Source organism: Homo sapiens, chromosome 12 (genome assembly GCF_000001405.40).
Source record: "Homo sapiens chromosome 12, GRCh38.p14 Primary Assembly".
In the NCBI taxonomy this organism is placed as follows: domain Eukaryota; kingdom Metazoa; phylum Chordata; class Mammalia; order Primates; family Hominidae; genus Homo; species Homo sapiens.
The window spans coordinates 121,566,209-121,580,302 of record NC_000012.12 but is presented as its reverse complement, the minus strand read 5'-3'; the positions used below and the strand labels follow the sequence as shown (position 1 = coordinate 121,580,302).

At 51.8% G+C, this 14,094-nt stretch overlaps 1 protein-coding gene across 40 annotated transcripts in view, besides 3 other annotated features; it reads left to right on the top strand.

Moving 5' to 3' along the window:
* KDM2B (lysine demethylase 2B) overlaps positions 1 to 14,094 on the top strand; it is a 173,819-nt gene that overhangs the window by 1,977 nt on the left and 157,748 nt on the right. For 17 of the 40 annotated variants that reach the window (XR_007063140.1, XM_047429682.1, XM_047429681.1 and 14 more), the window contains 3 exons: positions 1,357 to 1,501; positions 4,444 to 4,522; positions 5,710 to 5,756. Coding sequence is in view for 39 of the 40 variants with exons in the window: in XM_047429682.1 (XP_047285638.1) it covers positions 1,357 to 1,501; positions 4,444 to 4,522; positions 5,710 to 5,756 (271 nt within the window). In the remaining variant the exon portion in view is untranslated. Of the gene's footprint in view, positions 1 to 56; positions 473 to 643; positions 1,173 to 1,356; positions 1,502 to 1,733; positions 1,909 to 4,443; positions 4,523 to 5,709; positions 5,757 to 14,094 lie in introns of those variants that run through there. The other 23 variants (XM_047429696.1, XM_047429690.1, XM_047429688.1 and 20 more) reach the window with 6 other exon arrangements.
* Positions 1,159 to 1,238: a silencer, noted in NCBI's record as "silent region_4977". NCBI's record gives its function as "represses an Ori minimal core promoter by ATAC-STARR-seq in GM12878 lymphoblastoid cells {active_cell/tissue: GM12878}" and the evidence as "EXISTENCE:reporter gene assay evidence [ECO:0000049][PMID:35858748]".
* Positions 2,912 to 3,490: an enhancer, noted in NCBI's record as "NANOG-H3K27ac hESC enhancer chr12:122014718-122015296 (GRCh37/hg19 assembly coordinates)". NCBI's record gives its function as "activates a minimal SCP1, AML or CMV promoter by ChIP-STARR-seq in naive H9 embryonic stem cells {active_cell/tissue: H9 hESC(naive)}" and the evidence as "EXISTENCE:reporter gene assay evidence [ECO:0000049][PMID:30033119]".
* Positions 3,491 to 4,068: an enhancer, noted in NCBI's record as "NANOG-H3K27ac-H3K4me1 hESC enhancer chr12:122014140-122014717 (GRCh37/hg19 assembly coordinates)". NCBI's record gives its function as "activates a minimal SCP1, AML or CMV promoter by ChIP-STARR-seq in naive and primed H9 embryonic stem cells {active_cell/tissue: H9 hESC(naive and primed)}" and the evidence as "EXISTENCE:reporter gene assay evidence [ECO:0000049][PMID:30033119]".

Genomic DNA, 14,094 nt, shown 5'->3' with positions numbered 1-14,094 from the left:
CAACAATGTTTACGTTCCGGGGATTATGACGTCGACGCCTCCCCCCCCCCACAACTGCTGAAAATGGTTTCCTAGGACTTTGCAAACGGATCTGCCTAAGTGTTGGTGCAAAACTTTGTAGATCTCGGCTCTGGCTTGCTTTATTTATTTATTTTTTGGTTTGTTTTCTTTGGTCTTCCCTCCTTCCCCCCTCGGCCAAAATGCAGGGGGCAGGAGTGTTGACAATTAATTGGTGAACTCTCCTAAAAAAATGGAGGCAGAGAAAGACTCTGGAAGAAGATTGGTGTGTAGCTTTTTTTTTTTTTTTTTTTTTCCAAATCTGTATCTGGCATATGATAGATCTTTTTTTTTTTTTTTTTGGTTGTTTCTCGCTGCCTTTTCTTTCCTTTTCTGTATTTTGCAAGAGGACCGGGAAAAAAATATAATAAATTGCATGCAAAAGGAAGCAAGCTGCTTACTCCTCCAGCCCCTTGTGAGGCTTAGAGTCTCAGACACTTAAGTGGGGAGGTGGTATCGGGGAAAGGCGTGGAGGGGGGCTGAGCGGGCTCGGGGTTCGCCCGGAATCTGGGGGGCTGAGGGGCCGGGCGCTGGGCGGTGGAGGGAGGAGGCAGGGGGATGCGGGGAGTGGTGGGGGAGTCTCCTTAGGAAGTGAGTGTGCGCGCGCGCTTGTGGGGAGATGAGGCAGCTGCTGGTGCGTTTTGGGGTCTCCGATCCGAGCTTTGTGGCGGGCCGTCTGCCTCTCCCCCTTCCAAGCCCCGATTCTCCTCCCCCCACCTCCTCTTCTTGCACTGGCGGGCGGGCGGCGGGGGCGGCTGGGGTCTCAGCCCTTCCATTTCAGCTTTCCAGCTTCCCCGGTAGCTCGGGGGCGGCTCCAGCTTTAGAAATGCCGCCGGCCCCCGGTTCCGGCTTCCCGGCTCTGCCGCCGCGGCCGCTGGGGCTGCTGTTACCGCCGAGCCGGGCGCCGCAGCGGCTCCTCCTGGGGCCTACATTTGCCCCGCCAGCCCGTGTCCGGAGCCCCCTTCGCGGGTTACATAACCAGGCTCCCGGCCGAGTGGGCGAAGCCCAGCACATTTCGGGGGCGGGGGGCAGGGGAGGGTCCCCAGATGTCCCTTCAGTGCTTCCGAAGACACCGGAGGGGAGTACCCCGCGTAGAGCGCAGCTGGACCCTCGGGGTGCGGGCCCCTCTCCTTGTCCTGCTTTTCAGCATCTTTGGCAATTGCGCAAAGTTGCTTGGGTTGCAATGGTGGGGTGCAGGGGGCGCTCGGCTGCTGCACCTGTTAGTGCTGGGCCCAGGTTGAGAGGCGACCTCCAGCCCCCACAATAATGTCCCGGGCTCTCTGGTTTGGGTCCTCGCAGCGCCCGATTGACCGCCAGCGATACGACGAGAACGAGGACTTGTCGGACGTGGAGGAGATCGTCAGCGTCCGCGGCTTCAGCCTGGAGGAGAAGCTTCGCAGCCAGCTGTACCAGGGGGACTTCGTGCACGCCATGGAGGGCAAAGGTGAGGCGCCCCCACCCCGGGCCGCCCTCTGCGCTGCGGGCCGAGCGCACGTGGGGAGGGAGCTGCCGGTGGCTGGGTTCGTATTTCGCGCCCGCGTCCCCCATTCCAGGGGATCCGGTGACGAAACGAGGCCGAGCACTGGGGGGGTGGGGTGGGGTGGTGAGGGAGGAGGGCAGGCAGTAAGGGGGGCCGGGCATGGGCCTAGGCCCGGCCCGCGCCCACCACCAGCCCCAGGGTGGGCAGAGCCAGGGGGCCGGCGGACAGAGGGACCTGGAGATGGACAGGCGGACCGAGGGAGGGCGGGAGCGCCGCGTCCTCCCCCTCCCCGAGCCGGTCGCGCTCCCTGCGCTGCCTGAGGTGCCGCCGCCTGGCTGGAACTGGGTTCAGGGCGCCCCTGGGGCATCGGGGTAAGGCCCCCCAGGCCCGAAGCCTTCCCAATCCCGTTCCCGCTTGGGGCCTGCCAGTGAGGAACTGGTGATGGGGGCGCGTCGGGTGTTTGGGACGATGCCCCCTTAGGCCTGGGGTCCGCAGAGCCGCATTCCCCCATGGGCTCTGCCAGATTGGATCAGGGACCCCATGAGCCCTGAAGCTGTTGACCTGAACCCCTACCTGGGCCGGAGCTGTCTAGCGCTACAGCCTTGATAGGTTGAAGCCAAGAATTGGGGTCAGGGGGTGACTTCCCTTCAGGCTTCTGGGGGAGATCCCTGTCCCCTGGCAGTTTGAAGTGAGGAAATGGGTCTCCTCCCAGGCCTGAGACTTGGAGAGCTCTGTTCCTTGTGGGCCCACCCAATTGAGAGCGGAATCTGGGGACGCCTCCAGGGTTTTGGAGACCTTCACGGCCTGAGTTTCTCCCTGGCTCTCCTACTAGGAGGGTGGTGGGGGTCACCCTCCAGATGTTAAGGTGACGCCCTGGGTTGCCTCTGAGGCCTCCAGAGCCCTGGCCTTCCCAGCCTGCAGCCAGTGTGGCTCCTGGTTGAGGAACCTAGTATTGCCTGCGGGATTGGGGTTTTGAACATGCCCTACCTAGCCTTCCCAGGCCCTTCACTCCTTTTCCCTTTCAGATATTTCAATTTCCTTTAAGTTACAAAGTTTCTATTTTGTTCCCCCCACGCCCCTTGGAAAACCCTTCCATCCCTCAGTGAGCTGATAACCTGGAGTGCCTCCTTCCCTCCTCCAGGTTCTGGTTGAGTGGCTGTGGCTGTGGGGTTAGCTCTGAGAAGAGACTCCCAGCTTTGCAGTTTTGCGATTTCTCTTTTGTGCCCATTGCCTCCTGGAGCGCTGGGCTCCGGTGGTGAGGGGTGTTTGTTGGGGGAGGGAAGAATAAATTTCTCCCAGCCTGCCTGGTCCTAGAGCAGGGTGCTAGTCCCAGCTGATTTAAATTTTCTCTACATAAGTGGAATTTTAATTCCTCTCCTTTCTTCCCCCATTTTTACTGAGTTGAGTCATTTGGTGGATCCTATGTGCAAACAATATGCAAACTCTTCCTAGTCATTTGGGAGGAATTCTCAGCCCAGGATTTCAGAGCTTTTTCTCAGGCTGATTTGAGGAAGTTGAAGCTGACCCTGGGGGATGGGGTGCCTAGGGTGGGTGGGTCTAGAGGGCCGGTATTCCAGCCAGGGAGAGCTAAAGTGTATCCTTAGATCTGCTCTCCCGGCTTCTTTCAAAGGGGAGGGCCCAGGGCTTTGCTCTTTAATTCAGATCTGGCCCCAAAACTTGAGGGAGGAGCTTAGAAACAGGAGCCCTTAGCCTGGATTCAAAATAGAAGCTTCTTAAACTTCTCTTCCTTTAAATCCTTAGGAATCCCCATTCACTGTGAGCCCCTGGGGATCTGAGCTGCTGAGGTCAGGGCTTTCCCCGGCTTTGGGTTTTGTTCTCTGTCTCTCTTCGGAGGGGAGTTGTCTTGGCCTCCTCCTCCCCCAAGGCTGCCCTGTGAACTGTTTCCCTGGGCTAGCAGCTTCAGTGGCCTGAGGCCTCTTCTTCTCCCTTCTGACGGTCGGAGAGGCCTTCTTACCTTGCGGATTACTTTAGTTACCTGAGGATTTGGGGGACGTGAGAATTTATCTCAAGACCCATCACCTTCATATTCAGGGGTGTATGGTTGGGTCAGATTCACTGGTTTCAGAATTGGGGAAGGAAAGAAATTAGAGGCCTCCTTCATCCTCCAGGACTTTGGGTAAGGATTTGGGGACTGTACTAGAAAAACCCCAGACAGAGAGCGAGCCTGTGAATTTTCCTTGGGTCTTGCTATGCCCCCTTTACACAGCCTTCCCCTGGGGAGCCTCCCTCCCGGTTATCCAGCTGAAGCAAGGACTGTGATGGCTACAGCAGAATTTCACTCTTAAGACAACAAAGCTGTGCCCAGTTCCCTAGTTATTTTGGCACCAAATACACAGTTTCCAGGGAAACCGGCTTTTCCCCCCTCCCCTTCACTATGCAGGATATTACAATAAGATTTTCACTGATGCTCAGCTACAATGAGGGCCCTCCTCCCAGCCTCCTCTCTGGGCCTTCAGATCCTCCCAGGTGGCATTCTTCAATTTTGCAGTCCCTTTACTTTCCGAGCGCGGCTTGGGATGCGTGTCTCTGTCTATCCCTCTTTCTCAGCAATGGCTGGGACTCTTTTTGTGCGGTGCTCTTTTGAGTCTTCCTCCCCAACCCTCGCTGGCCTTGGGCTGTTCATTGACAAGTTTGGACCGGTGGGGCATGCCGAGAATGACTGACTGAGTAGGCAGAGGAGCTGATCGTTGGCATGGCTTCTCTTGGGCTTTGCCTAATCCATTTCCCGATCATTTTCCAAGGAGCTTTTGCTGTACAGCTGGTGCCTGCATCTCCTGGACCCCCTGCCCCTTCGTCCATCAGTTTTCTTCCCCTAACCAACAGATCCCGGTTCATTTGCTCCTTCGTGACTTAACCAACTTGTTTTAATTCAAATATCCAAACAGATTTCAACTATGAGTACGTACAGAGAGAAGCTCTCAGGGTTCCCCTGATATTTCGAGAAAAGGATGGACTGGGAATTAAGTAAGTTGCTGAAACTAATCACTCCTTCCCCCGTCTTCCTCCCTAACATACTTTATAGCTTGGGATGGATTTCTTCCACCCTCTTCCCACCTCTCATCACTGAGAAGGATCTTTTTTCACGATCTGGGAACAGCATCTCCTTGTTCAAGGCCTGACAAAGGGGAAACACTCTCCAAAGACTGGTCTTTTGCAGGGACTTTGGGCAGAGAGAGGACATAGGGTAATTAAGCAGTGTTGACTTTTTTCCCTGACCCACCCCAGTTACACTCAGTGACCTCCTACAGAGAATTGTACCTCTCCTCCTTCCCCTTGCTCCAGATCAGGAGACTGAGGCAGAGCCTGAGCTGCAAAGAGACTAGCCAGCCTCTAAGCCCAGACCCAGGGCACCTAGATACATGTTTCTTATGCAGATTCCTGGGGTGCCAATGTCTCCCCTTTCTTTGCCTGCCCTGCAGCTTGCCCCTCCACTATGTCTGTTTTCATTCACTGAGATCTGTCAGAGCTCCAGGTTGGGGGAGAGGTCTGGGAGGCAGGCTGGAAGAACAGGTTTGTGCCCCTTGGGCAGGGGCAGGGGAGGAGGCTTGGGGTGTCGTCCCAGGCAGCCTCTCTCCAGCATCTGCTCCCAGACTTGCTCAAGAGTCCATCCCTGTGAGTAGGATTTAAACCTTGGGCATCATTGTTAATTAATAGTGAATTGTAGCCCATATTACCACATCCCTGGAACTAGTACAATGCGTGTCTTTTTTTCCCTCTGAACTTAAAGGGGTCCGTCCCACTTTGCATAAAACTCCTCATGGAGAGTATTTTCTAGAGGGAGAAAGAGACATAGAGAGGGCTACCCACCCTAAAAGAAAGCAGGCATTTGAATGTCTAGCTCTGGCCCTTACCTTTGACCCCACACTTCCAGCTTCCCTGGAAAAATGGGGTGGACAGTGGATGTCCTACCCTCTGCTGAGGTTCAGGTTTGAGTTGCCTCTTGGGGTAGGGAAGGGCCTCAGTGGTTCTGGGGTGACCCTCCCTGGAGGCATCAACTGGTCTACTTCTCTCCCTCTGGATGTTCTCATTTTGAGTTCCCAAACTGAGGGGAAAGGATCTCTCTTGGAAAAATGGCTTCCCCCCGGGCCCAGGGTAGTCTAGCTCTGTTGTTTCTGGCCTCTCACCAAAGGTCTGTGCTCCTCTTTCCCCAGGATGCCTGACCCTGATTTCACAGTCCGAGACGTCAAACTCCTAGTGGGTAAGTCGCTTGCCGTGTGTGTGGCTCAGACATGCTGAAGTAGGGAAGGGGAAAGAGGCGGTCACCACCTGCCCATTTAGACTTTTAACTGCCTCTCAAAACAAAGTCCCCACGGGAGAAGGCAGGAGCAGGTGTGAGCTGCAACCGTTTCATTCTGGAGAACAGGTAGGGTTGCAGTCTTAAGAAGCTGTATCAGAGGGCGTTTGCCGGTACACAGTTTTATGAGGCCCATTTGGACGCTGCCTCCAGCCTGGGTGTCAGCAACGCAATCTGAGATCTCTCTTCTGCATTTGTTTGTGGGTTGCCGGGTAAACACTGGGTGCTTTATGATCCCTCATAGACTTTAAGGCTTTCGAGGCGAGGGGCTGTTCCTCCTGCTTCCTTGGGGTTCTAGACAAGCCTGGGGCAGGGCTTGGAACTGCGAGCTCAGCAAATGCACATGAGCTCCCTGAGCACCTGCAGGTGGCTGATGACTTAGTACTCTGGACGCTCGGCCAGTAGTAGGTGGCATTTCAGATCTTACAGGCAGTTGTTCAATCAATCTATTCTTTCCAGAAAAACACTTTTTAGCTACTTGGTGGGCAAGGTCAGAGTTGCAAACAGATGGATAAGTTCCCTGCCCTCTTGGTGGGTACAAGAGGCAGTCAAGAAGTAAACAGTGGCCGGGTGCAGTGGCTCACACCTGTAATCCCAGCACTTTGGGAGGCCGAGGCGGGTGGATCATGAGGTCAGGAGATCGAGACCATCCTGGCTAACACAGTGAAACCCCGTCTCTACTAAAAATACAAAAAATTAGCCAGGCGTGGTGGCGGGCGCCTGTGGTCCCAGCTGCTCGGGAGGCTGAGGCAGGAGAATGGTGTGAACCTGGGAGGCGGCGGAGCTTGCTGTGAGCAGAGATGGCGCCACTGCGCTCCAGCCTGGGCGACAGAGCGAGACTCCGTCTCAAAAAAAAAAAAAAAGAAGTAAACAGTAGGCCGAGGGTGGTGGCTCACGCCTGTAATCCCAGCACTTTGGAAGGCTGAGACAGGCAGATCGCTTGAGCCCAAGAATTTGAGATCAGACTGGGCAACATGGTGAAACCCTCTCTCTACAAAAAATTAGCTGGGCGTGGTGGTGCATACCTGTAGTCCCAGCTACTCTGGAGGCCGAGGTGAGAGGATCACTTCAGTCCAGGAGGCAGAGGCTGCAGCGAGCTGAGATCATGCCACTGCACTCCAGCCTAGGTAACAGAGTAAGACTCTGTCTCAAAAAAAAAAAAAAAGTAAACAGTGTTTACAATGATATATCTGGCTGAGCACGGTGGCTCATGCCTGTAATCCTAGCACTTTGGGAGGCTGAGGCGGGAGGATTGCTTGAGGCCAGGAGTTTGAGACCAGCCTGGGCAACATAGTGAGACCCCATCTCTAAAAAAAAAAAAAAATTAGGCCGGGCACAGTGGCTCACACCTGTAATCTCAGCACTTTGGGAGGCTGAGGCGGGAGGATCACGAGGTCAAGATTTCGAGACCAGCCTGGCCAACATGGTGAAACCCCGTCTCTACTGAAAATACAAAAATTAGCCGGGCGTAGTGGCAGGCGCCTGTAGTCCCAGCTACTTGGGAGGCTGAGGCAGGAGAATAGCTTGAACCTAGGAGGTAGAGGTTGTGGTGAGCCGAGATCGTGCCACTGCACTCCAGCCTGGGTGACGGAGCAAGACTCCAACTCAAAAAAAAAAAAAAAAAAAAATTTATCCAGGTGTGGTGGTGTGTGTCTGTAGTTGTAGCTACTTGGGAGGCTGTGACGGGAGGCTCACTTGAGCCCAGGAGTTCACGCCCGCAGGCCATGATTGCATCACTTCACTCCAGCCTGGGCAACAGAGCGAGACCTATCTCTAAAATAAATAATAATCATAAAATGAAATGTCTTTTCTGATGGTGACAGGGCTATGTAAAAATAAACAGAATAATGGCATGGCACGTGGTGGGGCTTCATTTTAGACAGGGTGGTCAGGGAGGCCCTCTCTGGGATGAAGGGGGGCATTTGAACAGAGACCTGACTGATGAGAATCAGCTGTGGGAAAAGACATTCTAGGTTGAGGGAAGAGCAAGGGCACAAGGGAAGTCGGGGGATAAACTTGGAGTGCGGAACTGAGTGAGTGAGTGAGTGAGAAAGTGGCAGAAGAGGTGGCAGAGGCCACGGAGCTGGGATGTGAGGGCCTCCCAGGTTCCTGTAGGGAATTTGGGTTTGACTTCTAGTGTGTTGGGAAGCCACTGGGGAGCTTTAAAGTGGGGTGAAGGGAGTATCTCTGTGATCTGATTATTTTCTTGGGTTGGGTTTGAAACATTTTTATTTAATTTTATTTATATGTTTTAGAGACCAGTCTCGTGCTTTTGTCCAAGCTAGAGTGCAGCGGCGTGATTATGACTCACTACAGCCTGCAACTCCTGGGCCTAAGCGATCCGCCCACCTTAGCCTCGAGAATAGCTGGGACCACAGCCGTGTACCACCACACCCAGTTAGTTATTTACTTATTTTTGTAGAGATGGGGTCTTGCTACTACATTGCCCAGGCTGGTCTTGAACCATGCACCTGGCCACATTTAAAAAATTGAGAAGAGTGGCTGGGCGCCGTGGCTCATGCCTGTAATCCCAGCACTTTGGGAGGCCGACGCGGGCGAATCACAAGGTCAGGAGTTTGAGACCAGCCTGGCCAACATGGTGAAACTCCGTCTCCACTAAAAAATACAAAAAATTAGCTGGGTGTAGTGGCGGGCGGCTGTAATCCCAGCTACTCGGGAGGCTGAGGCAGGAGAATCTCTTGAACCCGGGAGGCAGAGGTTGTAGTGAGCCAAGATTGCGCCACTGCACTCCAGCCCAGGCGACACAGTGAGACACTGTCTCAAAAAAAAAAAAAAATTGAGATCATATTCACATACTATAAAAGTTGCCACTTAACCATTTTAAAATGTAGAAGTTGGTTGGGCGCGGTGGCTCACGCCTGTAATCCCAGCGCTTTGGGAAGTTGAGGCGGGCAGATCACTTGAGGTCCTGACCTCAAGTCAAGACCAGCCTGGCCAACATGATGAAACCCCGTCTCTGCTAAAAATACAAAAATTCACCACGTGTGGTGGCACATTCCTGTAATCCCAGCTACTCGGGAGGCTGAGGCAGGAGAATCACTTGAACCTGGGAGGCAGAGGTTGCAGTGAGCCGAGATTGCACCACTGCACTCCAGCCTGGGTGACAGACTGAGACTCTTTCCCAAAAAAAGAAAAGGCACAAGTCATTGGTTTTAATATATTCACAATGCTGTATAACCATCCCCACTAAATTCCAGAATATTTCTATCACCCCCAAAAGAAACACTGTATCAATTCCCCCATCGCTGTTAGATTAGCATGACTGCTAATCTGCCTTGTGTCTCTATGAAGTTGCTGATTCTGGACATTTCATTCAAGTGGAATCATAGAACACACGATCCTTTGTGTCTGGCTCCTTTCACTTGGTGTCATGTTCTCAAGGCAATCCATGTTGCAGCATGAGGCAGTACTTCACTCTCTTTCTTGGCTGAATAATATTCCATTGTATGGATAGACTACATTTTGTTTATCCAAAAACATTTGTTTTTGGACCACATTTGTTGATGGACATTTTGGTTGTTTCTACTTTTTGGCTGTTATGAATAATGTTGCTAAAAATATTCACATACAGGTTTTTGTTGAACATGCATCTTCACTTATCTTGGGTATATCTTTAGGAGTGGAATTGCTGGATCATGTGGTAACTGTGTTTAACTTACTGAGGAACTGCCAGACTGTTTACCAAAGCAGCTGTGTCATTTTACACTCCCATAAGCAGTGTGTAGGGGTTCTGGTTTCCCTACATCCTTGTTAACACTTGTTATTGTCTGTCTCTTTGACGATAGCCATGCTAGTGGCTATGCAGTGAGGTCATTTGATTGAAGTTTTATAGAAGCCAACTCTGGTGTGTCTGTGTGGAGGATGAAAGCAGCCGGCCAGTGTGTCAGATGTGTCAGATGATCCAGCCAGAATAATTGACCCAAAAGCATGTTAAAGATATGCAGGCTGGGTGCGGTGGCTCACACCTGCTAGTTCCAGCACTTTGGGAGGCCAAGGTAGGAGGATCGATTGAGGCCAGGAGTTCAAGACCAGCCTGGGGAGCATGGCAAAACCTCGTCTCTACAAAAAACACAAAAATGGCCAGGCGCAGTGGCTCACGCTTGGAATCCCAGCACTTTCGGAGGCTGAGGCAGGTGGATCACCTGAGGTCAGGAGTTTGAGACCAGCCTGGTCAACATGGTGAAACCCTGTCCCTACTAAAAATACAAAAAAATCAGCCGGTCATGGTGGCGGGCACCTGTAATCCCAGCTACTTGGGGGGCTGAGGCAGGAGAATTGCCTGAACCCTGGAGGCAGAGGTTGCAGTGAGCAGAGATTGGCCATTGCACTCCAGCCTGGGCAACAAGAGCAATACTCTGTCTCAAACAAAACAAAACAAAACCAAAAAAACCCAAAAAACCCAAAACACAAAAATTAGCTGGGCTTGGTGGCATGCCTCGGTAGTCCCAGCTCCTCAGGAGGCTGAGGTGGGACACATCACTTGAGCCTAGGAGTTTGAGGCTGTAGTGAGCCAAGATCACGCCACTGCACTCCACTCCACTCTGTCAGGGCAACAGAGCGAGATCCTGTCTCAAAAAAAAAAAGAAAGAAAGAAAGAAAGAAAAGAAAAAAGAAAGCAGGAACAGTCATCCAGCCCCCTCTCCCTTGGTATTTCTGTGATGATCAAATGGAGCGATGAATGTTCAAGTGCTTTGCAGAGGGACAGCTGCTCTGAACTCTGAGGGAGGCCGCTGACTGCAGTTGGCCTGGGGAATTATTATGCCCATTTCGGTCTCTGAGCTGCACACAGGCTTCCAGAGAGTGGTGATAGGGCACATTTGTTATAAGTGACCTAAGTGACAAATGTAACTCTAGCTGTCCTAAGCAAAAGGAAATTCATAGACTTAGGTCGTAAGTTCAGCATGTAACCTCCGGGGACATCTATGTCTGGATGCTCCAAAATGATCTTGAGAAATTGAGTCTGTTTCTCCTTTCTGCTTCCCACTTCGACTCCCTCTTTCTGCTTCATTCTTGGCAGGCTTCTCCCCATGGGAGGGTAGGGAGGGTGGGTGAAGAAGGGGCCCACAGCAGCTTCAGGCGTCTATCCTGCCAGCTCAGGGTCCTTCCCAAAACCTCAGTCATTCCCTTAGATGCCTCTGGATTGGCTCTGACAGTCTTAGCACAGCCTTCAGCCAGACTGGAGTTGCTGGCTGGGGTCAGCCCAGCAGAACCACGTGGACTGAAAGTGGGGAAGCAGTGATTCTCCAGGGTTGCTGGGTGACATAAACACAGCCCTAACAGACGTGAGAGTCTGCTTTGGAGGGCAGTGTGTGGGGAAGGTTGGGCCAGCCCTCCCAGTCATTGCGGGGTCGCAGCCTGTGTCTTGCAGCCTCTGTCTTCCAGTGTCTTACCTTGCCCTGGGCACTGCACCACGGGACGTGGCCGTTTGAGAAAGGGATTTGTGCACTACCAGGTGTTCAGGACACAACTCGGGGCTGCAGACTCTTCTCTAATGTCCTAAAATTGGGCTTTTCTCCATCAGCAGTCTGTTCCCAGCTCCAAGCCTTTTTTTTTTTTTTTTTTTAACAAAAAAGCAGTTTCCATTTCTGTAACACTGTACCCTTAAAAAAACCCCATTCATTGAAGTATAATATACATGCAGAAAAGTGCACATATGGTAACCACGTAGCTCGATTAATTTTAACAAACTGAACACATCAGGGTAACCAGTACCCAGAATCCCCTGCGTCTGCCCATGTAGTCTCCGCCCTCCACTGCTAGTGAACCTGACTTCTAGCCCCTTGGATGAGTTTCGCCTGTTTTCACATTTTATGCCAGTGAAATCGTGGAGGATGTCTTCTTTAGTTTTTGGCTTCTTTTGCTCAGCTTTGTGTATATACAATTCGTCCATATTGTTTGTTGTGTGTAGTTGTAGATTTCTTTTCTTTTTTTGTGTGTATGTGTGTGTGATTTTGTTTGTTTGTTTTTTTGAGATGGAGTTTCGCTCTTGTTGCCCAGGCTGAAGTGCAGTGGCACCATCTTGGCTCACTGCAACCTCTGCCTCCTGGGTTCAAGCGTTTCTCCTGCCTCAGCCTCCTGAGTAGCTGGGATTAGAGGCGCCCGCCACCACGCTTTTATATTTTTCGTAGAGATGAGATTTCACCATGTTGCCCAGGCTAGTCTCAAATTTCTGAGCCCAAGCAATTCTCCTGCTTCGACCTCCCAAAGTGCTGGGGTTACAGGTGCGAGCCACTGCACCTGGCCTTTGTTTCGTGGTTGGATATTTTCTGAAATGTCTCATCAGGTCTTTTCTCCATTATTTCAAAGGGTTGGCTCTTATTAATTGTCAGGTGTATTCGTTTGCTTGGGCTGCCGTAAGAAAGTACCACAGATGGGGGCTTCAACAACAATTTATTTTCTTAGGCTGGGCGCAGTGGCTCACGCCTGTAATCCCAGCACTTTGGGAGGCTGAGGTGGGCGGATCACCTAAGGTCAGAAGTTCTAGATCAGCCTGGCCAACATGGTGAAACTCAGTGTCTACTAAAAATACAAAAATTAGCCGGGCTTGGTGGTGCACAGCTGTAATCCCAGCTACTCCTGAGGCTGAGGCAGGAGAATTGCTTGAACCCGGAGAATGGCTTGAACCCGGGAGGTGGAGGTTACAGTGAGCCGAGATTGCACCACTATACTCCAGCCTGGGTGAGAGAGTGAGACTCCGTCTCAAAAAAAAAAAAAAAAAAAAAAGAAATGTATTTTCTGACAATTCTGGAGGCAAGGAATCCGAGATCAAAGTGGCAGCAGCTGTGGTTTATTTGAAGGTCTCTCTTCTTGGCTTGTAGTTGGCTGTCTTCTCCCTGCCCTCATGTGGTTTTCCCTTTGCATGTCTGTCCTAAACTATTCTTTTTTGTAGAGACGGGTCTTGCTTTGTTGCCCAGGCTGTTCTCAGACTCCTGGGCTCAAGTGATCCTCCCGCCTCGCCATCGCGAAGTGCTGCAATTGCATGCGTGAGCCACAGTGCCCAGCCCCTAAACTCTTCTTATAAGGACACCAGTCATATTAGATGAGGGCTCACCCTAAAGATGTCATTTTCACTTAATTACATTTTTAAAGACCCTATCTCCAAATATGGCTACATTCTGAGGTGCTGGGGGTGAGGACTTCAGCATATTAATATATACACCTTATAGGTAGACACAATTCAGACTATAAGACTTTTTTATATATTCTGGATGTGAGTCTTTTGTCAGATATATATATATTCCCAGGTGGGGGGCGGTGGCTCATGCCAGTAATCCCAGCACTTTGGGAGGCTGAGGTGGGTGGATTACCACAGAGGTCAGGAGTTTGAGACCGGCCTGGCCAACATGGTAAAACCTCGTCTCTACTAAAAATACAAAAATGAGAGGCAGGGTGTGGTGGCTCACACCTGTAATCCCAGCTACTCAGGAGGCTGAGGCAGGAGAATCACCTGAACCTGGGAGGCGGAGGTTGCAGTGAGCTGAGATTGCGCCACTGCCCTCCAGCCTGGGTGACAGAACAAGACTCCATCTCAAAAAAAAGAAAAAAAAACTCCCACTTTGTGGCTTGTCTTTTCACATTCCTAAAAAGGTGTCTTTGAATGAGCAGAAGGTTTGTTTTGTTCGTTTGTTTGTTTCAGGACAGAGTCTTGCTCTGTAGCCCAGGTTGGAGTGCAGTGGCATGATCTTGGCTCACTGCAACCTCTGCCTCCTGGATTCAAGCGATTCTCCTGCCTCATCCTCCTGAATAGCTGGGATTACAGGTGCCGGCCACCATGCCCGGCTAATTTTTATTTATTTATTTATTTATTTTTGAGACAGAATTTCGCTTGTCGCCCGGGCTGGAGTGCATTGGCGCGATCTCGGCTCACTGCAACCTCCGCCTCCCCGTTCAAGCGATTCTCCTGCCTCAGCCTCCCGAGTAGCTGGAATTACAGGCACCCGCCACCATGCCCAGCTCATTTTTATATTTTTAGTAGAGACAGGGTTTTACCATATTGGCCAGGATGGTCTCGAACTCCTGGCCTCAGGTGACCTGCCTGCCTCAGCTTCCCAGAGTGCTGGGATTACAGGCGTGAGCCACTGCACCCAGCCAATTTTTGTATTTTGAGTAGAGACGGAGTTTCACCATGTTGGCCAGGCTGGTCTTGAACTCCTGACCTTGTAATCCTCCCGCCTCAGCCTCCCAGTGTTGGGATTACAGGTGTGAGCCACCACGCCTGGCC